Consider the following 21,040-nt stretch of genomic DNA (forward strand, 5'->3'; position numbering starts at 1 on the left):
GAAGGAAGCCTGCCCTGCCACCTGGTGGTGAGTGAGGGCACGGCCCCCAGCTGCTCTCGGGTAGGTTTGCCCCCAAGTACGTGGACTATTCGCTCCCTGACACCGGGCTGCAGGCTTGAGGGGACCCAGGGTCGGTTTCAAGAGCCTCTTCTCTGGCCCTGCCAACTATCTATCTCCCCCAAGTCCGTGGACTATTCGCTCCTTGACACCAGGTTGCAAGCTTGAGGAGAGGCAGGGTCAGTTTCAAGAACCTTTCTCTGTCCCTGCCAACTATCTATCTATCTATAATTATTTGATAGATAATTGTGGCTTGATCACGGCTCATTGCAGTCTAGACCTCCCCAGGTTCAGGTGATCCTCCCACGCATCACCACGCCCGGCAAATTTTTCTATTTTTTGGAGAGACAAGGTCTCACTACGTTGCCCAGTCTGTTCTTGAGCCCGGGAGCTGGAGGCTGCCGTGAGCCGAGATCGCCCCATGCCAGTATGGGCGACAAAGCGAGACCCTGTCTCAAACAAAACTCACAAAATCAGGGGACAAGGAAACAAAACAAGGCTTGATAGTCAGGCCTAGCTGTGGGGACAAATGCCATAGGTCTGTGGTTTGCAGCTTCTTGGGGTCCTGAGAGAACAGGCCCCTCCCCCTTTTCACGACAGTGTGTGCATATGCACACTCACTTCTGTATCCAGTTTCAGAGGTTCTCAGATCTGAGGTCCCCTATGGACTCCTCCGCTACCCCCGGTTGCAAGGTCCCTAAGCCATTGAAGAATCTGACAGAGGCACAAGTCCACCCTGACCTTTGGCAGGACTGTTCTGCTGCCAGAGGGATTACCGAGAAAGGAAATCTTGTCCTGGACTCTTCAAGTGGGGTGAGTGAGCTCCGGGGTATAAGCTAGTCCTTCCCTTCAGGCTGAGAGCTAGACAGGATAGGAGTAAGTTGGCCTTCTGCTGTCCCACTCTAGGGCTGGGTCCAAAGAGCGCTTTACTCAGTGAAGACAGGCCACTGTGTGGACAGAGACAACATACATAGAAACATGCATCGGAGGCCGGGCGAGGTGGCTCACGCCTGTAATCCCAACACTTTAGGAGGTCGAGGCGGGCGGATCACTTGAGGTCAGGAGTTCGAGACCAGCCTGGCCAACATGGTGAAACCCCTAAAAATACAAAAATTAGCTGGGCTTAGTGGCGCACGCCTGTACGCCCAGCTACTCGGGAGGCTGAGGCAGGAGAATGAATCACTTGAACCTGGGAGGCAGAGGTTGCACTGAGCCGAGATCGCGCCACTGCACACCAGCCTGGGCGACAGAGTGAGACTATCTCAAAAAAAAAAAACCACAACAAAACATGCAACGGACTCAAAGATACACACATCAAAACTGTACGCGCACACAGACTCTGATACAGAGGTACAGACACAAAAAGGCACCGATGTAAAAGCACAAAGGCAGGCCCAGTTACACTCCCGTCAACAAACCACGGAACCTAAATTCAGACTTGGTGGAGCCCAAAACCTCGCAGCCTCAGGGGCACTCTCGCCGGGGGCGGGACCAGAAGGGGGTGTGGCCTCTCAGGTCGAGGCGGGGTTAAGGGTCATAAGGCGGAGGCGCGCCCAAGATGGCGGCCTCCATGTGCGACGTGTTCTCCTTCTGCGTGGGCGTGGCGGGCCGCGCGCGGGTCTCCGTGGAAGTCCGTTTCGTGAGCAGCGCCAAGGTGAGGTCGGGGCGGGTCCTGCCGGGAGCCTCTCCCCAGTCCGGCCATGGAGACAGCCCGGCCGGACTCCATGCCCGGAGCCCAGAGGCTTCTGTGCCGCTCGGACGCTACGGCCCTGCCCCTGCTCGCGGCCCGGGGGCTCCCAGTCTGTCCCTGCGCGCAGGCTCGTGGCGCGGTCACGCGATAGACCCGGGCCTCCGGAGTCTCCGTGCGCATTTCCTCCCAGCGGAATTCGGCCAGCCCGCGGGAGGCCCTTCTGTGGCTGCTCGGGGCGGGGCTAGGGGGCTTTGCTGCTGTATCCCTGGAACGGTGGGCGGGGATGTGCCGGGCAGAGAGAACTGAGGTGTAAAAGAGGGAGTCCTCACGAACTTCATGTGTGAGATTTGGGTGAGGGGATGAGGAGAGAGGCCAAGATCCTTCACGAGGGTCCTTGGAGTGCTGAGGAATTTGGACCAGAGTCCAAAGGCCGTGGGGGCATTGGGAGAGTTTTTAGCAGGAAGGTGACGTGATTTTGTCGTTTTTATTGTGTTCCAAAAGTTCATTGTAGAAAAAAATACAAAATGCATGTAAGGAAAGAAAATACAAAAATCACCCATACTTCTATACTTGTGCAAAGATGAGTACGTTAAAATTACATTTTTAGAAACTGCTTTTTGATGCAGCAGTGAATCTTTCAATATCAAGCCTATTTCTACATATTAAGTTTTAAGAGCTGAGTAGTAGCTTCTTCCGTGAGAGGGTCACAGTTCACTCAACCAACCCCTTATTAATGGACCCTTTATTGTTGTATGGTATTTTTCATCCCCAGAGTCAAAAGTCTTAGAGCTCATTTTCTGTGCAAACATCCTCTTGTTTTGTCCAGCAGTATTTTTTTCCTAGTTATCTTTGCCTATTGATATGTGTAAAATTATATTTGTTCTCATTTACGTTTCTTTGGTTACTAGTGAGGTTGAATAATTTATCCTGTGTAGTGGCTGTGTGTATGGTTGGTTCTTGCCCAAGACGTAAGACCTCTAGTTGTCTGTTGTCTGCTCTCAGCGTCATCATATTGATCTAGTTTTCCAGCTCAACCTTCCGTGCCCCCTTTCTGCTCTAGAGGTATCTGGAGCAGTTTGCTCCTTCCCTGGTAAATCAGCTTCCCTACATCCCTGGTCTCCTTACCTGTTCCTATCTCCATCTCCATAGTCTCTAGTGCTCCTGGGTGGCCACAGTTTGAAGGCCTCTCAGTTCCATCATTCTTGGTTTGCAGTGATATTCTTCACCTTTTTCTTCATTAGCCCCCAGTCTCTCAGCCCCTTCCTTTCTTCATTTCTTCCCTCTCGCTTCTTCACTTCAGCCACTCTCCTTGCACAGTTTTCCTGTCCCAGGCTTCTATCAAGGCCCTAGCTGATTGCCCTCTCCTTGCCTACATCTGATCTGCTGCTGGAGAAAATAACATACCTGCCTGGACTTGGTAACAGCATGGATTATCCTGGGCTTTTTGCTTCTCTATTCAAATGAGATTGGTTTGTGATTTTTTTCTCTGTGTTATTTTCCTCAAGTTGCCACATGAGGGTTATACTTGTTTTTTTTTGGTAAAACAGAAATGCTTTCTGTCATTACATTGTTTAAATAGCATGAGCATTATTTATTCTTTAAAGGTTTGAGAGAATTGGGTCATGAAACTATATAGACCAGGGGCCTCAAGTGGGAGTAGTTTTTGACTACTGTTTATTGCTTCTGTGGATAGGAATGACTTTTCAAAAATTTATCAACTATTATGCCAGAGACATGACCAGTCAGAACAGAAACCTCACCAGGTCCAGTGGAAGCCAGCTGGATTACCATACTGGTGCACTAGCCGGATAGCAGCATGGCTTATTGTGGGCTTTCTTCTTTTAATCAAGATTTTAAAATCTACTACATAGTCTGCCCGGGCATGGTGGCTCATTCCTTTAATTCCAGCGCTTTCGGAGGCCAAGGTGGGCTGATCACTTGAGATCAGGAGTTCAAGACCAGTCTGGCCAACATGGTGAAACCCTGTCTCTACTAAAAATACAAAAATTAGGCCTGGCGTGGTGGCTCACACCTGTAATCCCAGCACTTTGGGAGGCCGAGAGGGGCGGATCACTTGAACTTGATGTCAGGAGTTCGAGACCAGCCTGACCAACATGGTGAAACCCCATCTGTACTAAAAATACAAAAATTAGTCGGGCGTGGTGGTGCACACCTGTAATCCCAGCTACCTGAGGGCCAGGCACGAGAATTGCTTGAACCCAGGAGGCAGAAGTTGCAGTGAGCTGAGGTCGTGCTACTGCACTCCAGCCTGGGCGACAGAGGGAGACTCCATCTCAACAACAACAACAAAAATCTATTACATAGTCTTAAGAGTTTTGCACTATTTTTTTTTATAGAGATGGGGTCTTGCTGTGTTGCCCAGGCTGGTCTCAAACTCCTGGGCTCAAGCGATCCTTCATCCTTGCTTCCCAAAGTGCTAGATTTACAGTGTGAGCCACCATACCCGGCCTGCACGATTTTTTCTTAAAACTTTTTTTTCAAATTGGAAGTATGTATGGTTTGTCCCCTTTCCATTCAGGTTCAGTGCTCTCCAACCTTCTTTTTTTTTTTGAGATGGAGTCTTACTCTGTTGCCCAGGCTATAGTGCAGTAGTACAATCTTGGCTCACTGCAACCTCCGCCTCCTGGGTTCAAGCGATTCTCCTGCCTCAGCCTTCCGAGTAGCTGGGACTACAGGTGAACACCACCATGTCCAGCTAATTTTTGTATTTTTAGTAGAGACAGGGTTTCACCATATTGGTCAGGCTGGTCTTGAACTCCTGACCTCGTGATCTGTCTGCCTTAGCCTCCCAAAGTGCTGGGATTACAAGCATGAGCCACTGCGCCCGGCCCAACCTTAATATTATGAGTTAGAGCTCTGTTTTCCTTGAAATATGGTCATCAGTTTTGGGAATGACTTTATAAAGGAACAACTCTGATTCTTTTCTCTTTGTTTTGATTACGAAATATTTTCTGCATTTAGTCCTTCACAAAGAGAGGGAGATCTATATTTGTCCAATATTGAAATTTGAGATTGTCAGAAATAATGTGAGTCCCTGTTCATATTGTCGTGTCCCATAGAGGAAGGCCAAGTTTTCAATTTGCTAGATTGGGATGGGATACAAGGCATGGGGAGAAGGGCTTCCAGGAAACCAGGCAAGGGTATGCCCAGGGCTTTGCCTCCTGGTTTTGTTTCACCTGTCCCACTCTACTGTGAGATAGAGCTTCCAGAGTTGTTCACAGGGTTGAGATTTTTCGCTCTGAATTTGAGAGGCAACCGTATCTGGCCTTCTAAGGAGGCAGGGAGCTACCTGGGAGGCAACACTGACAGGTCATTTTGCTTCAGTGTCAAGCATTTTTTTCCTCTCCTTTTGTTGTGGCAGCTCAGTGTTGACAGGGCTCCACACGTCTTCTTTGAGTAGTGGGAGTATGTGCCCAATAAGGCCAGTAACTGCCTGGGTTCTGAAGCCATCTGCTGAGTCCTTTTGCACATTTGAGAGATGGCAGTTCAGAGGTTTTTTTCTCATTCTTCATCCTTTACATGATGTATATAGTGTTTTAGACCAGTGCTTCTCAAACTAACATGCATATGAATCACCTGGGCATCTTGTTACGATGCAGATTCTGATTCAGCAGGTCTGGGGTGGGGCCCAAGAGTCTGCATTTCTGACAGAGTCCTAGGTGATGCCCATGTTGCCAGTCCCTGTACCCTCATTGAGTAGGAAGAAGCTAGAGCTCATAAGGTCCATTCATCTGTGCTATATCATTACACCCTGGAAACTACCTTGTAGGTATTATTATAATGCTCACTTTTCAAACGGGAAACAGATGTAAAGTGAAGCAGTTGGCTCAAAGGTTCACAGCAAGTTAATGTTAGGACTGGTACTAGTATTAGCTCCTTTCTTTCAGTGCAACCACCAAGGACTTGTTGGATGCCAGGCACTGTGCTAGGTGCTGTGGGTATTCAGCTGACCAAGGAAGAAGGCACATTCTCCCCCAAACAAGGCTTCCCTGTCCCATGGTGTAGGATTTCTCTGCAACCCTGTGTAGCAACACCACTGCCAGGATCCTGGAGTGGCATGTGGCTGACTCAGAGATGAGTGCCCTGCCATTATCAGCTCCTGGTACTGGAGGCCCCAGCCTGCTATAAGCCTTGGCCCTGCTCTGGCCATACTGAGAAAAATTCTCTCAGTAATCTGAGATGGCTGCCATGGTGGCTGCCTCCCTGTTCCAGGCCTTCTGCTCTGAATGGGCTGAAAGGGATGCAACTGAAAATAGGTCAGAGCTGTATTTCCAGAGGAGAAAGTTATGGAGGGTGCTAACCACTCTCCATGAACTCACAGAGGCAGAGGCCTCTCCTAAGAGTGAGGCATGTGGGAGTGAGGCTGGACAGCCTCCTGGAAGCTCTCGGAGCTATGTCTTCTGTTCCTTTTTATGGCCATCCTATCCCTCTGCCCTCTCAGGGAAAGGGGCTGTTTGCCACACAGCTCATCCGGAAGGGGGAGACCATCTTCGTAGAACGGCCCCTGGTGGCTGCACAGTTTCTCTGGAATGCACTTTATCGCTACCGAGGTGAGTACATCTCTCCTACTCCTCATGGCCCAGTCGTCTTTGTGCATGGAAGTGAGCTGCATACATCCCTACTGGCTGACGTCTCTGGAACTCTGGGTGTTGGGAGGAAATGCTGTCTTCCATTGAAGGACTGTGCCTGAGAACCATGCCTCTGTCCAGTCTCAGGTGTTTGAGGCTTATTCCTGTGGTGGGAGGCTCTTCAGATGTGCTCCCTGAGGGAGCACAGCAGGACTTAGGCGAGTTTGATTCCATGGTATGAGGGACATCATGCTGAAGGCCCAGTGCCAAAGTGGAGTCCTCCACCAAGAGGAGGCTACATGGCCCTTGTTCAAAGAAGGCTGAGTTAGGGGTGAGCACAAGTACGATGCCCTTAGCTTTGCTGGCCACATGCTTTTTTCACACTTTTCTTTTTTTGGGGTCTGGGGGAGGGGGACGGAGTTTCGCTCTTGTCACCCAGGCTAAAGTGCAGTGGTGCAATCTCGGCTCTCTGCAACCTCTGCCTCCTAGGTTCAAGCAATCCTCCTGCCTCAGCCTCCCGAGTAGCTGGGATTACAGGCACACACAACCATGTCCAGCTAATTTTTGCATTTTTAGTAGAAACGGGGTTTCAACATGTTGGCTAGGCTGGTCTTGAACTCCTAACCTCAGGTGCTCCACTTGCCTTGGCCTCCCAAAGTGCTGGGATTACAGGCTTGAGCCACCGTGCCCAACCCACACATTTCTTAAGCTAGAGAGACACAATGAAAGGAGGGTCAGTTGGCCCCAGAGTATGGGAAAAGCCCAGTTTGGGGGTGGTAGGGGAGCCCCACAGAGTGAGTCTGATTAAGAAGCAAGGAAAGTTAGACAATAAGGGCCAGGAGGTCCTTGAGAGGGAGGAGGGGATCATCTGCCTTGGGATGCACATGAAATAAATTCATTCATCCATTCATCCATGCATGTAATTATTCATTTACTCACTTTCCAAACCTTTATGAAACACTAGAATGGTGCCTGGCACATAGCAGCTGCTCTGTAGGGCTGTGAAAGGGATAGATGTGGCCTCTGCTCTCAAGATATTGTTGTGTCTGGCTCTCACCGTCAGCCTGTGACCACTGCCTTAGGGCACTAGAGAAGGCAGAGGAGAATGCCCAGAGGCTGACCGGGAAACCAGGCCAGGTTCTGCCTCACCCAGAGCTGTGCACTGTGCGCAAAGACCTCCACCAGAACTGTCCCCATTGCCAAGTGAGTATTCTTGGGGAGTGTACCTGGAAGGGGGTGGGTGAGGGAGGCCTTAGCTGGAGTCCTCAGTGGGGAGACAGGAGCAGCGACAGACCTGGTCATGGCCCTTGAAAACTACAATGTAGGATAAGATGTTGAAAAGGCTTGGTTATTGTTCCAGTTTCATCCTCCCTGGCACAGTTACATTGTCTGGAAAATGGGCTTGGTGGGAGCTGGAAAATGGGCTTGGTGGGAGCTTGCTTTCTTCCTGGGGACCTGGCAGGGGCTCTCCCCTCTACCTGAAAAGTTCTCTTCCCTTTCTGTGGTTTTGCAAGCCTAGGTGTGCCTTTCACATATCCCCAGAGCACCCTATGTTTTCTCTTCTCATGATACATCTGAGCTACAGCTCAGGGGCTATTTGTGGAAGGAATGCAGTTAGAGGAGGTGATTCTAGGGCCAGATCCTTGGGTACTGACCTCTATCCCACCTAACAGGTGATGTACTGCAGTGCAGAATGTCGGTTGGCAGCCACTGAGCAATACCACCAGGTCCTGTGCCCAGGCCCCTCCCAGGATGACCCCTTGCATCCTCTCAATAAGCTTCAGGAGGCATGGAGGTAGGTTTCTTTTCCTCTCTTCTTTCCTTTATCCTTTCCTCCCTGGTTGCCTGCCTGGGCTCATCAGGTGTTGCCGTCTTTCTTAAGTTCCAATTCCCCGGATTTTTCTTCCTTTCTTAGGGTTAAACAGAAGTCACATAACCCTATCCCCTGCTTTTAATCTGGGCTGTCAGTCTTTCTGTCCTTAGCATTTAACGCTCTCCCAGAAAGAGCCCCATTAAGCCAATAGGGATGCAAAGTCTTGCCTAAGTCCTTGTCTATGACTTTCCTGGTAATTGATGGAATTGGTAGGAAGTTTTCTCTGTACCAGTCAGACTCGGCTTCCCTGAGCTCAGCTACTAGGGAGAGAATTTCTAGGCCAATCTTTTTTCTCTTTCCCCAGGAGTATTCACTACCCACCTGAGACTGCAAGCATCATGTTGATGGCTAGGATGGTGGCCACAGTGAAGCAGGTGAGCCCACCCAACCCTCTCGGGGAAGCTGACTTTGGCCCCATTCAACCCTTGGTCTCAGTCTTTTCCTCACCTCAAAGCCCTAGCTTGGATGCAGAGTTCTTCCTGGCCTTCCCAAAGGAGAGCTCCTTGCTATGTAAAACCTTCAGAATGCACTCTGAAGGCATAGGGAGTGGAGAGCTCGTTTTGCCTGTAGTCTTTTTTTTTTTTTTTTTTGTAACTTAAAGACCAGTGTGATAGTATGCCTGTAGTTTCTGATATAGAAGATGCCTTGTGCAGTAGCAATTCATGCATTTGATTTATAAGCACCGCTTTTTCAGGATTATGTCTTACATAAAGCGAGAGAAGCCACTCTAACCACCCTTCTATTAATATTGTTCCTCAGCCTCTTTCTCCTGTTTTCCAAGTGTTGTTGAATTGGCTATCTTGGCTACAACTGGGGAGATGGTTGTGGGTGGGCAGCATTGGGAGGAAGCCTCAGGCAGAGGAAGGGCCCCTATAAGTTCCTGTGTAGTGGTATTTCCCAAGTGGGCGGGAGTGCCAGTGAGAAGGTGGGTATCTGTGACCCTTAAGTATGTTTGTTCACTGCAGGCGAAGGACAAGGACCGTTGGATCAGACTCTTTTCCCAGTTTTGTAACAAAACAGCCAATGAAGAGGAGGAAATTGTCCATAAACTTCTGGGAGACAAATTCAAGGTTATTATTCTCCCGTGGCCTGTCTCCTTCCCTCCCCAAATATCCTAGGATGTCTCTGGCCAGCTGTGGGGAGCACCACATTTGATCACTTCTGAGCTACAGGAAGGAGTTAGAACTTGGGTCCAGAAATCGATTCAGAGGAGTTACATTCCTGCCACTGTTTACTTCATGACCTCATGTGGACCTACAGTTGGGAAGTGGGGTGACAACAGAGGAAGGGCATGTCAGATGCCTTGCCCTGAAAGTGCTCCCTAACTGGTGTTAGAAGGCAGGACTCGTCATAGGATAGCAGTGGGCAAATCAGGTAGAATGGGGCCGCAGAATCAGAGAGCAGTGTGAAACTGCCCATGTCCTGAGAACCCGTTCCCAATCAAAGAGTATGGGTCCTCACTGAGGACAGCAGACTTCCCTGCAGGAGCTGCCTGAGGGTGGAGGCAGGTGTGTACAAGGTTTGCATCTGGGGTGGGCCCTCTTGCACTGAACTTTTATAGGAAGGGAGTGGGAGAGCCCAGCTGGTCTGGAGGCCAGGTCAAGGGAGATTTGATGGTGGTGGTGTGGATAGACATTTCAGGCTGCCTCAGCCTTGCTGGTACAAGTGCTGGAAAATGGAGAGAAATTTGGGTTTGCCACCCCGGGTTGGAACAGGCCGGCAGACTGCCAAAGCTCTTTGGAGGTAGACTCTGTGGCCTTCCTTTGCCCCTACGGAAAGCTCAGTCTACAGAGCTGGCCCTTTTTCCTTCCCTCCCCTAGTCGCCTGGGCCCTGCCTGGGTGCTAATGGGAAATCCCCAGGGATACAAGTCTCTCCCTGCTTCCTCTAATCCAGGGCCAACTGGAACTTCTGCGGAGACTCTTCACAGAGGCCCTCTATGAGGAAGCAGTCAGCCAGGTGAGTGAGGAGAGGGTGGGACCAGTGGCCTCCTTGTTACTCCAGCTCTCCAGGAGCAATCAGGTCATCATCTCCTACTGGGACAGCTGAGCCAAAGCCGACTTGGTCTTCTGGAGTTCAGATGAGCCTGACTCACAGAAGGCTTCCCAAACAGAGAGTCCAATTGGAAGAAAAGTCAGTGGCTGTAATGAGCACTCATCTCTTTTTTCCCCCCACAGTGGTTCACTCCAGATGGATTCCGGTCTCTCTTTGCTCTTGTTGGGACCAATGGCCAAGGAATCGGGACCAGGTTAGAATGTTCCAGAGCTATTGAAGTTACTCTCAGGGGTGGGAAACTGAGGAAGGTAGCCACAGTTCCTTTCAAGACTGGGATGGGGTAGGGTGGGACTCTGGACAGATCACTGAACTGGACACAGTGGTGGGAATCAGAATGAGGCATTGGAATCTGTTTTGGGGAGCCTCTGTTGGGGAAGATGGGCCCCCACCTGGAGAATGAAGTGGGGTGGGGATGGGAGACCCTTCTTCCTGGGCTTAACTTACCTGGAGGTGGAGAGCCCTGTGACCTGGGCTTCTGCCTCCCCAACCATGGGCTGCCTGGGACCCCCCAGCTCCCTAAGCCAGTGGGTCCATGCCTGTGACACTCTGGAGTTGAAGCCTCAGGACCGTGAGCAGCTTGACGCCTTCATTGACCAGCTATACAAGGACATCGAGGCAGGTTGGTGAGATAGGGCCTTGGCCTCACCCAGCCATGGCGACCCCCCCAGTCAGATGGTGGACACAAAGTCTTTCCCCAGGGTGCTCTGAATTAATGGTGGGGGAAGGTAATCCCTTTGTGCCTGTGGGGAGCTTCAGATCTGTCCACAGGGCACACAGGTGAGAAACAGCCCCAAGATGTATCCAGAGGCTTGATGCTGGGAGGAGGGGGGTGCTGGATAAATAGGATGTCTTGTAGACAGAAAAGCAAGGCTTCTGTCTCGGAGAGGCAAGTTTAGGTAAGATGGTAGGGACTGATGCCTTAGTGTGGTGGGGTTGCAGGACAGTGGAGACAGTGCCTGTCCGTGTAAGCCTCGTTTCCTTTTCCTGCCTTTAAAAATGGGTAGAATAATGTGTGTGTATTACTGTCTTACAGCAACTGGAGAGTTTCTTAACTGTGAAGGATCTGGCCTCTTTGTGCTTCAGAGCTGCTGTGAGTCATGGCGTTGAGGAGGGATGGTCCCAGGCGCTTCTGCCTTTGCCAGGTGGCCTTGCAGCCACAGTTTATCTTTCTCAGTTGGCCCTTTCTAGGCTGGTAGGGTTGAGTCTGGGAGCCCCATTAGGTCTGAGCTCCCACAGGAATTCCCCTGGGCCTTTTTGTTCTATCATTTTTTTCATTTGTTCATCCAACTGTTTGTGCTATAATACCTGCTTATATATAAAACCTTACAATAGGCCAGGCCCTGTACTAAGGCAGGCATAGAGCTCTGATTCTTGCAAAGGGATGCATGGGCTTTGCACCGTCACTGCCTTGTGAGATTTGGGAGTACTGGGAGCCCAGGCTACAGGGCGAGTCTCATCAGCACCTGATGAGAAGGGGCAGATTCAGCTCAGACAACTGCCTTTTCCAGACCTCAGCTTCCCACCCCCTGGTTTCCTCACTGCAAACTCCTCCTCCCAGGCTCCAGGGCCACTCTACCCTCCCAAACTGGATTCTCAGAGGGCCTGTGTCAGCTGTTACTAGATGTCCAATAGCAGGCAGAACTGAGTTAAGTGGTCTGGGGTGGGCATTCCTTCAGAGCCCTGTCCCTCCCTTTGCGAGACAGTGGGAACACGACTGAGAATGAAGTTGGCCAGTCACAGCGAGTTGGAGTGGGAGTGCTGTGGAGTTCATTTGTGCTGTGCTATATGGTCTTCAGGAAAGAACACTGGATGCAGAGTCCAGAAACTTGGGTTCCAAAACGTGCTCAGCCTTGGCAGGGATGAACGAGCAAGAAAGGACCCAGTGCTCTGCAGAATTGAGGCTATTATTTTTTTTAGTCAATAATCCTCATTACCTGCCTCTTATGATCCAGGCAACCACAGTTGTGTGCCCAATGCAGAGACCTCCTTTCCAGAAAACAACTTCCTTTTGCATGTCACTGCTCTGGAGGATATTAAGCCAGGAGAGGTGAGGGGGACCAGGAACCGTCGGGATGGGTGGGCAGTAGGCCTTGGAAGTTCTCTGCAGGGATCAGGAGCAGCAGTGGCTAGAGCACCTTGAAGTTCAGGCTGTTGGGTGGAATCCCCACATACCTTAGGGTCTGAGTCTTTCAGCTCATGGTTAGGTTCTAACCCTACCTCGCTTTTTCAAAATATGACTCCAGAAAGCCTCAGGACAGTGTTTGAGGGACACCTATGTGCTCAGATTCTTGTCCCCAGCTATCTTTTGGTCAAATGCAGATATGTAATTTCTAAGAAAGCAGGAGATAGCTCTTTGTGGGTTTAGGGTCTTGTCTGTTAGTGCAGGCACAGTGCCTGGTTGAATCTTCTTGAGGGCAAGTAGCATCATACCAAGACCTCTGATCCCAGCTGCAGACCTTGGCCATTGACTGGCTTTCACCACGGCCTGAGGCCAACCAGTCTCCTCTGTCTCAGGCACAGGCTGTTGGAGCCTTATAGTGGCCTGCCTACTGAAGGCACTGGGAACTGGATGAGGGCAGCCAGCCCCTTCACTGAAGGGCAACGCAAACTTGGCTCCTAGAGATGGGGCAGTGGTTGGAGATAGGGTAGCTGTTGGGGAGGTCCTTATGCCATTTAAAAGAGCACAGACCATCAGACTGCACTTCTCTGCCCTACAGGAAATTTGTATCAGCTACTTGGACTGCTGTCAGCGGGAGCGCAGCCGCCACAGCCGCCACAAGATCCTCAGGTGCCAGCTGGGGACATGGTTGTGCAGCTGGGCTCTGGGGTCCTCTACCCATAGCTCCCTGACTTTTCCCCCTCACCATCCCCCACCGCTGCAGGGAGAACTATCTATTTGTCTGTTCCTGTCCCAAATGCCTGGCAGAGGCTGATGAACCCAATGTGACCTCAGAAGAGGAAGAGGAAGAGGAGGAGGAGGAGGAAGGAGAGCCAGAAGATGCAGAGCTGGGGGATGAGATGACTGATGTGTGATGTTGCCCTGCCCAGAAAGGGCCCTGCCCTAGACCCTGCCAGAAAAGGGGGCTCTTCCCCCAGAGAAGTGGCTTGGAGGGAACTTCCCACTCCCATTGCCTGCTTTCCCCATTCCAGCCCTCTCTGCTAGAGGGTAGGAGAGAGCCTGGATCTCTGGCCCCAACCCCCACCAGACCTCATGCCCTGGACACTGCTGCTGAGTTGGCTCAGACTCTGCACTGGCACTGAGCCTTTCACAACTGGCCTCCCCTTGAGGTTCCTCCACTCTAGGGTTTGAGGGGCTGGAATCAGGGCCAGGGCCTAACAGTGTTTCTTCCCCTCGGCCCCACGGCCCATACTCACCCCTTCACCTGAGGCTTCTCCCCTCTCAACTTGCTGTTGATTTCTTTTGAGGGGTAAAAGAAAGACCGAGTTCATTGAAGCAGAGATGGGAGGTGGTGAGGCGTCCTCACCTCCCCCCACCACAGCTGTGGCTGGTAAGGCAACTGCTTGACCACTGGCCCAGCAAGCAGAGGCGGGCAGGAGGATCTGGGCATCCTGAGCCCCTTCCCTGAGGCTGTCTCCTGGGAATGCTGGACCAGGGGGATTACTTCCCCCACCCACACCCCCATTTGGACATCTGGGGAAGTGGAGATTAACCCCTCCCCCAGACTCGTGCCTTGCCTCTCAGGACCTGGCACAGTGGCTGGCCTTATGGAGTATGGAAAAGGCCTCTGCCTTCCTCAGGAGGGACACATAGTGGGTCATCACCCTTTCTCACACCTGCTTCCCAATGAGCACTCAGCAGCATGGCTGAGACCTGGGGCTTGACAGGCCTGCGCTCCTTAGATTAGGATGCTCTGGTATTCCTGGGGCCAGTTAAAATGGGTCAGTGAGGGGCTCTCCTGGCCTCAATCTCCATCTTTAGGGTCTCCACAGACTAACATTGAAGTCTTCCAGAAACCTCGAGGAGCTGGGCTAGATACTTCGAGAGTAGCCCTGTCTTGTCCCCTCCTACCCCCAGATTAGCACCACCCCTCTCACTCTTGGGTTGGATGCTATGGGAATTACAACCCATCACTCCCAATGCCTCCCTTTCCTGGAGGAGCCTGCTGCATTCTCCTGCTGAGGGATCCCAGAGAGGGCAGGTGCCCACCCCACAGGCCCTTTCCTGGACCATGGAGCCAGGTGAAACCTGTCTGGCCCCTTACCCATTGGGTTCTTACTCCTTCACAACGGTCAGCACTCCTCTCCCAGCCCCCCTGCCCACTGTTCTCAATAAAATGTGAGTGGTGAGAGGCCTCTGCAGGAATGCTTTGTGGCAAGTGGCTGGGCAGGCTGCCCCGGGCGTGCAGCAGGCACAGGTGGGTGCAAAGGAATACCAATTAGACCAGGTAATGGTAGGAGATGGGAGCTCCAGGCTCACCAGCTTGGGCTCACCTCTACTGTTATTTACACCCTGCTATGCAAATGTTCTAATGCCCAAGAGCAAGGGTCCTCTGAGGTCCAGTTTGGGTGGTTTTTAAATTTTGAGACAGGGTCTCACCTTGTCACCCAGGCTGGCATGCAGCAATGCAATCATAGCTCACTACAGCCTTGAACTTCTGGGCCCAAGTGATCCTCCCACCTCCGCCTCCTGAGTAGCTGGGACTATAGGCTCACACCACCACACCCAGCTAATTTTTAATTTTTCTGTAGAGATGGGATCTTGCTATGTTGTTGCCAAGGCTGGTCTTGAATTCTTGGCCTCAACTGATCCTCCCACCTCGGCCTCCCAAAGTGCTGGGATTACAGGCATGGGCCACCATGCCTAGCCCTGAGGTCCAGTTTGGACCCCCAGTTCCAGGCTCTAAGATGAGTCTTCTCCTGAGGGGCTGAACTCTGGCTTCCCAGGGCTTCCTTGGCTCCTAGCAGGAAGCTGTGCTGGGATCTAAGACTAGCAGTCTGAGCACTGGTCCCAAATGACCTAGGCCAGTCACTGTCCTCTGTGGGTGTTTCCTTTCCTCAGAACGACAGTATGGGACGATACGAGTGAGTTTGAAGGTCCTGCCCACCCGTGTGCTCTTATTCTAGGACACAGTTGCAACCCTGATGAGAAGCTTTATTGCTAAAAAGTCAGTGAGGGTTTATTGAGTCCCCAAACACCAGCTCTTTAAACCACTCCAACAACTGCTGTGAAGGTCACTGTGCAGAGACCCTGGGTAGGGGAGGCTGGAGCCAGGTGAGTGTGACAGGTCACAGATGGCTCTCAGGCCACCTGCCTTCAGCTCCTTTTGTTTCGGGTTCTAGCCAGAAGCCCTGGGGCCTGTCTCTTGCCTCTTCTTGTAGCATGAGACACCCTTGGGGGCCCTGGGGAAGGGAAGGCCAGTGGTGTGGCTTCCCTTTCAGCCTAGCAACGCCCAAACCCTTTTCCTCTACCTGGCTCCACTTGTCCCCAGATGCTATCTCCAAATTCCAAGTAGCAAAATTCCTGGGTTTCCCCTTCCCAGCTCAGAGTCACTTATGGCTGGAATGTGGGACAAACTCTTCTACCAGAAGGTCCAGGGCGGTTGCAGCAGCTCAAAGGTGGGGATGCTGGTGACATTGACTGGGATGGAAATGATGGCCCATGGCAGCCCATGCTGTTCCAGAGAGCGGCGGATCATGTAGCTGGGAGGGCATGAAGAGAGGTGGTGACGGTCACTTTCTTGGTACCCCATCATGCCCCACTGTCCCCATCAATCTGGGAGTTCCAAAGCCCGAGATCTTTTTTTGCCCTCTAACTGAAGCACCCCAAGTTGAGGCCTGCAAGAAGGGACTGGTGATTACCCCTGACCCAGTCATGGCGCCCAGCCTGGTGCTGATAAAGCCAGAGGCAAGGAGCCCTCACCCGTCTCGGCCGAGCAGGAAGAGGGCGGGGATGTCAGCTGTGCGCTGGGTACTGTCCTGGATCATCTCCACGTAGAAGCTGTCATTGTCAACTGCGTTGTCAGAGATGATCACCGCCCGCCCGCCGTGCTCCTGGACCACCCGAGTCTTGGAGAGGAAGGAGCAGCCCCTGGAAGAGGTGGTGATAAGACCAAAGGAAAGACAGGTCCTAGCTCCCCCTTCCCCAGACCATCACCCTGGGAGTATAGAAGGCAGACTATGAAGAATCTGTTATAAAGGCTCATAAGTAAATAGCTAAAAGCATGGATAATTTAAATACATTTCTTTTTCCTTTTTCTTTTTTTTTGGAGACTGGGTTTTGCTCTGTTGCCCAGGCTGGAGTGCAGTGACGTGATCTCGGCTCACTGCAGCCTTAACATGCGGTCAAGCAATCCTCTCACCTCAGCCTCGAGTAGCTGGGACCACAGGTGTGCACCACCATGCCCAGCTAATTTTTGTATTTTTTGTACAGACAGGGTTTCTCCATGTTGCCCAGGCTAGACATTTCTTAAAGACGCTTAAAAAGATGAAATTTTCAAAAACAGCTCTTTCAAAGCACTACTACCAATAATCTCAGAATCTGCCGTATGCCTGCCCACTCCTCGTGTCCTGCCTGCCCACTCCTTACCCCCTCTCCACCAGAGCAATCTGGTCCTGGATGAAGAAACCGTTGCTGAGTTCCCCGCAGGCCTCTGGAGGTTCAGCGGGGACAAGGTGAATCTGCTCATACCTTGTGTGCTGAAAAACATTTAACATTTGGACAGGTGAGAGTGTAATGAGACACACCTGCTTTAGGACTGGGCTGACAATCCCATCTTATTGGCACCTTATAAAGTGTGAAGGAAACATGGAGTGGTTTCTGTATCGCCAGACACTTAAACATTTTTACTTAATTCTCGCAAAGGCCTATCTGGTTGTCCTACACCACCCTACCCTTCTATGAGATAGGCAGGGGACTTGGTTGTAGATCCAGAGAGAGGAAGTGATGTGCCTTAAGTCACATAGTTCACAGGTAGAGCTGGCAGAGGAAGCTGGTGCTCTTGGCTTTTCACTTCATGTCCCCTAAAAAGACAACTTGTCCCTCCATGGTGCCTAGGTTTATATTATACTCAGGGGAGTAGCTGGAAGAGCTTCCTTTCTGTGCTGCAGCTCATGGAAGGCAGAGCTGATTCTGCTCCCTTCCCTGTCCCAGCACTCAGGTGGGATGAGAGGGTCACTGCAGCTCAGTGAGGGGAAGGGGGAGGTTGAGGATCAGAGATCAGGGGCCTCCCTTAACTTACAAAGATACCACCAAAGTCCTTGGCAGGTGTGGCTGTGAAGATGTATCGAATGTCCCCAGGACTCAGCACTTGAAAGTACAAATAATCATGGATACGGAAGCCTGAAGGATAAAGAGTACAGGTAAGAAGCCTCCCAGGAACAAGCTGGTTCAGGTTCAGATCCCAGACCCTGTGTCTTCAGCTGGGCTGGCTATAGTCTGGGCTCAGGGTCCTGGCTTCAGCCAACGGGGTCCACTAGTGGCAGGGTTGGGGGCTAGATGGCCTCTGTCCTGGGGAGGATAGAGTTGATGCAGAGTCATTAACCCCAGAGGCTTATATCAGCTGCTGCTGCTGCTTACGCAGTAAGCCAGGAAAACTGAGAGCTCCAGGGTTAGTATTTTTGCTCTGAAGACCTGGGAGTTTCAGGGTAGAGATGTAGTGGCCTGCGTACAAAGCAATTCTCACTAAAATTTAAAAGTTGACTTTCTGGTCCCACTGCCATCCCCTTAAGTCTAGTCACTATCATCTCTTGTCCTGACAGCTCAGCTTCTTACCTGGCCTCCCTGCCTCCATTCTTGCTCCCCAAGCAACAACCAGAAATCGAAAACATCTTAGCAATTATGAGCACATCACCATACCTAGGGTTTCAATAACTGCCCTTTGCATTTAAAATTTAAACTCTTTTTAAACTGTGGCCTACAAGACCCTGTTTGCTGTGGCCCCTGGCCACTCTTCCAACCTCATCTCCTCCATCCTGTGTTCAAGCTACACTGGCCTTTCAGTGTCTTCACTTCTCTGGGTCTTTCTGCAGGCTGTTCCCTGAGCCTGGAAGGCCCCCTACTCCCACGCCACCCTACTTCCACCCCTTTACCTGACTCTTTCCTAGTCATCCTTCAGGTCACACCTTAAATGTCACTTCCTCAGAGAAAGCTTCTGCCTCATGATTGCCCTCCCATACCCATTCAAATGTACTTTTTAATAAATGGGGACTTTCAACATAATTTGTAATTATACAGCTTTCATAACTTTTCTTTTTTTCTTTTTTTGAGACGGAGTCTCGCTCTGTCACCCAGGCTGGAGTGCAGTGTTGCGATCTAGGCTCGCTGCAAGCTCCGCCTCCCGGGTTCACGCCATTCTCCTGCCTCAGCCTCCGGAGTAGCTGGGACTACAGGCGCCCGCCACCACGCCCGGAGAATTTTTTGTATTTTTAGTAGAGACGGGGTTTCACCGTGTTAGCCAGGATGGTCTCTATCTCCTGACCTCGTGATCCACCCGCCTGGGCCTTCCAAAGTGCTGGGATTACAGGCGTGAGCCACCGCGCCCGGCCTCTTTTTCTTTTTTTTGAGACAGGGTCTCACTTTATCACCCAGGCTGGAGTGCAGTGGCGCCATCTCGCCTCACAGCAACCTCCACCTCCCAGGCTCAAGCGATTCTCATGCCTCAGCCTCCCAAATAGCTGGGACTACAGGCGTGCGCCACCATGCCTGGCTAATTTTTTTTTGTATTTTTTAGTAGAGAGGGTTTCGCCATGTTGACCAGGCTGATTTTTTTTTTTCATTTTTTAAATAGGAATGGGGTCTCGCCTTGTTGCCAGGGCTTGTGATCCTCCCACCTTGGCTTACCAAAGTCCTGGGATTACAGGCGTGAGCCACCGCACCTGCCCTGGATTCATAATTTTTAAATATCTGCCTCTTCCACTTTGTAACTTCATTCAGTGAAGAGTCACCAGTGTCTTGCACAGTGGCTACAATATAGGGATAGCCCTATAAACTTTCCTGAATGGGTGAACAACTATATCTAGCTCCACAGCACCGATGAAGAGAATTTCCAGACCACTAGATTTTTCTGGGGCATGGGATCTTCTCCTCAGCACCAAAGTTTAATGTTGTACCTGGACTTGAGTCCCTGGTTTCCTTAACCCAGAGAGACTGCGGAATGTTGAAAGATAAAAACTGCTGTCATGGGCGGGCGCGGTGGCTCACGCCTGTAATCCCAGCACTTTGGGAGGCCGAGGCGGGCAGATCACGAGGTCAGGAGATCGAGACCATCCTGGCTAACACGGTGAAACCCCCGTCTCTACTAAAAATACAAAAAAATTAGCCGGGCGTGGTGGTGGGCGCCTGTAGTCCCAGCTACTTGGGAGGCTGAGGCAGGAGAATGGCGTGAACCCGGGAGGCGGAGCTTGCAGTGAGCCGAGATCGGGCCACTGCACTGCAACCTGGGCGACAGAGCAAGACTCCGTCTCAAAAAAAAAAAAAAGAAAAAAAGAAAACTGCTGTCACAAGTCTGTTAGTCTATCAACAAACTACCAAGTCACTACTGTGTACCAAGGATGGCATTAAGGCTTTAGCTGTCTTTGTTTACTGCCCAAATCACAGCCATCAGTTAGAGCTCCCATGGCTTGGCACTGGGCTATACAGTCCTGGGAGTGGGGACTCCCTCTCGGATACAAATACACCCCCAGAAAGCCTTCCTGGACTAGCGTCAAACTCACTCCCTCCTCCCCAACCCTTGCTTGCCTTTGTGTGTGCTTATTTGTGTAAGTTGTGGGTATACGTATGTGCTCACTTATGTGCATAGATGTATACATTTATGTGCTTGTGTAGGTGTAAACGGTTTGTGCGTGTGTGCCCACGTGTAGGAATGTGTGCTCCTGTGTACATGTGAATGCTCACATACATATCTCCAGCCTGTAGTATCCTTCCTTAGCTGTCCCTTCTGGTCGCACCCTAAGTCACCTGGGTCGGCGCTAGTGGGCGGGGAGGGGCGAGTGGGGAGATCTGCTTTGTCGTGGGAAGGTGAGGAGTCAGAGCTTCAGCCTCAGGCTGCGCCCACTTTATGTCCTTGGACCACCACCCACTTATTCCGGCCGCCCGCTCCCAGACCTGTCCTGCTCTGAACTCGCAGGGTCCCCAAGGTGACCCTTGGCCCCCAACCCGAGACGCGCGCAAGCTGGACGGCCAGCCCCGCCCTGCAACGCAGTCCCACCCGTTGCCGCTCACCGTGGGCCGCGACGCACGCGGGGAGCCAGAGCACGAGACAACACCAGCCCGCGGCGCCGGGGACCATCTCCAGGGCCGGGCCCGGCCCGGCGCCGCGTTTCCTCTCGCCGCCCCGCCGCGCGTCGCTCGCAGGACTTCAGCCTGACAGCTGCTCCGGCCTCCCGCCCACATACCCGCTCTCGCCGCGGGCTGGACGACGGGAACGAGGCTCAAGGCTGATTGGCTCTGACGCCTGCTCATGTAGCCACACTTTCCGCCTCTGCGCCTTAGCCTACTTCCTATTGGTCGAGAGAAGTGGAGCCGGGGGCTGATTGGCTTAAACTCTTAACAGCTACAACCGGCCTTCGCCTCAGCCCCGCCCCAGCATACTCTCCGGGTCCTCGCTGGCGGTGGGCGGGCCAGGGAGGACAAGCACTGGAGGTGTGCCCGTAGCCGGACTTGCTTCAGCTGTCGATAGTCGAGGCCGTTAACCCTTGCGGTCTCGGTCCTGTCCACTCCAAGGCCGCCTCGATTGACGACGATTAGCCTTCTCCCAGCTGCGCTTCCCTCCTCCCAGCTGCGCTTCCCTCCTCCCCACGCCTTCACGGGAAGGCACTCG

The 21,040-nt window shown here is 51.9% G+C and overlaps 2 protein-coding genes across 3 annotated transcripts, besides 5 other annotated features; one reads left to right on the forward strand and one right to left on the reverse strand.

Moving 5' to 3' along the window:
- Positions 58-127: a silencer, noted in NCBI's record as "silent region_11636". NCBI's record gives its function as "represses an Ori minimal core promoter by ATAC-STARR-seq in GM12878 lymphoblastoid cells {active_cell/tissue: GM12878}" and the evidence as "EXISTENCE:reporter gene assay evidence [ECO:0000049][PMID:35858748]".
- Positions 1,450-1,744: an enhancer, noted in NCBI's record as "tiled region #2018; HepG2 Activating DNase matched - State 1:Tss, and K562 Activating DNase unmatched - State 1:Tss". NCBI's record gives its function as "activates a minimal TATA promoter and a strong SV40 promoter by Sharpr-MPRA in HepG2 and K562 cells {active_cell/tissue: HepG2 | K562}" and the evidence as "EXISTENCE:reporter gene assay evidence [ECO:0000049][PMID:27701403]".
- Positions 1,450-1,771: a biological region, named in NCBI's record as "Sharpr-MPRA regulatory region 2018".
- Positions 1,532-1,771: an enhancer, noted in NCBI's record as "active region_16026". NCBI's record gives its function as "activates an Ori minimal core promoter by ATAC-STARR-seq in GM12878 lymphoblastoid cells {active_cell/tissue: GM12878}" and the evidence as "EXISTENCE:reporter gene assay evidence [ECO:0000049][PMID:35858748]".
- Positions 1,594-14,570, forward strand: SMYD5 (SMYD family member 5). Its single transcript, NM_006062.3, has 13 exons — positions 1,594-1,711; positions 6,210-6,318; positions 7,400-7,539; positions 8,010-8,131; positions 8,514-8,583; positions 9,175-9,279; positions 10,104-10,166; positions 10,385-10,455; positions 10,775-10,881; positions 11,296-11,352; positions 12,215-12,309; positions 12,980-13,050; positions 13,145-14,570. The coding sequence occupies exons 1-13, from the start codon at positions 1,616-1,618 to the stop codon at positions 13,293-13,295; spliced, it is 1,257 nt and encodes a 418-aa protein (NP_006053.2). The 5' UTR covers positions 1,594-1,615; the 3' UTR covers positions 13,296-14,570.
- Positions 14,571-15,354: 784 nt separating this feature from the next.
- On the reverse strand, positions 15,355-20,633 carry PRADC1 (protease associated domain containing 1). 2 transcript variants are annotated; one of them, NR_144358.1, is made up of 5 exons: positions 20,443-20,633; positions 17,462-17,562; positions 16,810-16,919; positions 16,144-16,289; positions 15,355-15,923 (listed from the first exon to the last, which is right to left on the reverse strand). NR_144358.1 is itself a non-coding variant. In NM_032319.3 (5 exons), exons 1-5 carry the CDS (start codon positions 20,507-20,509, stop codon positions 15,803-15,805), a joined length of 567 nt encoding a protein of 188 aa, NP_115695.1. In that variant the 5' UTR covers positions 20,510-20,588; the 3' UTR covers positions 15,359-15,802. The 2 variants fall into 2 exon arrangements, 1 of the variants encoding a protein (NP_115695.1); NM_032319.3 differs by having other exon boundaries at positions 15,359-15,923; positions 16,144-16,311; positions 20,443-20,588.
- Positions 20,635-20,844: a silencer, noted in NCBI's record as "silent region_11637". NCBI's record gives its function as "represses an Ori minimal core promoter by ATAC-STARR-seq in GM12878 lymphoblastoid cells {active_cell/tissue: GM12878}" and the evidence as "EXISTENCE:reporter gene assay evidence [ECO:0000049][PMID:35858748]".

The sequence above is a fragment of the Homo sapiens genome, chromosome 2 (assembly GCF_000001405.40).
Source record: "Homo sapiens chromosome 2, GRCh38.p14 Primary Assembly".
Lineage (NCBI taxonomy): Eukaryota > Metazoa > Chordata > Mammalia > Primates > Hominidae > Homo > Homo sapiens.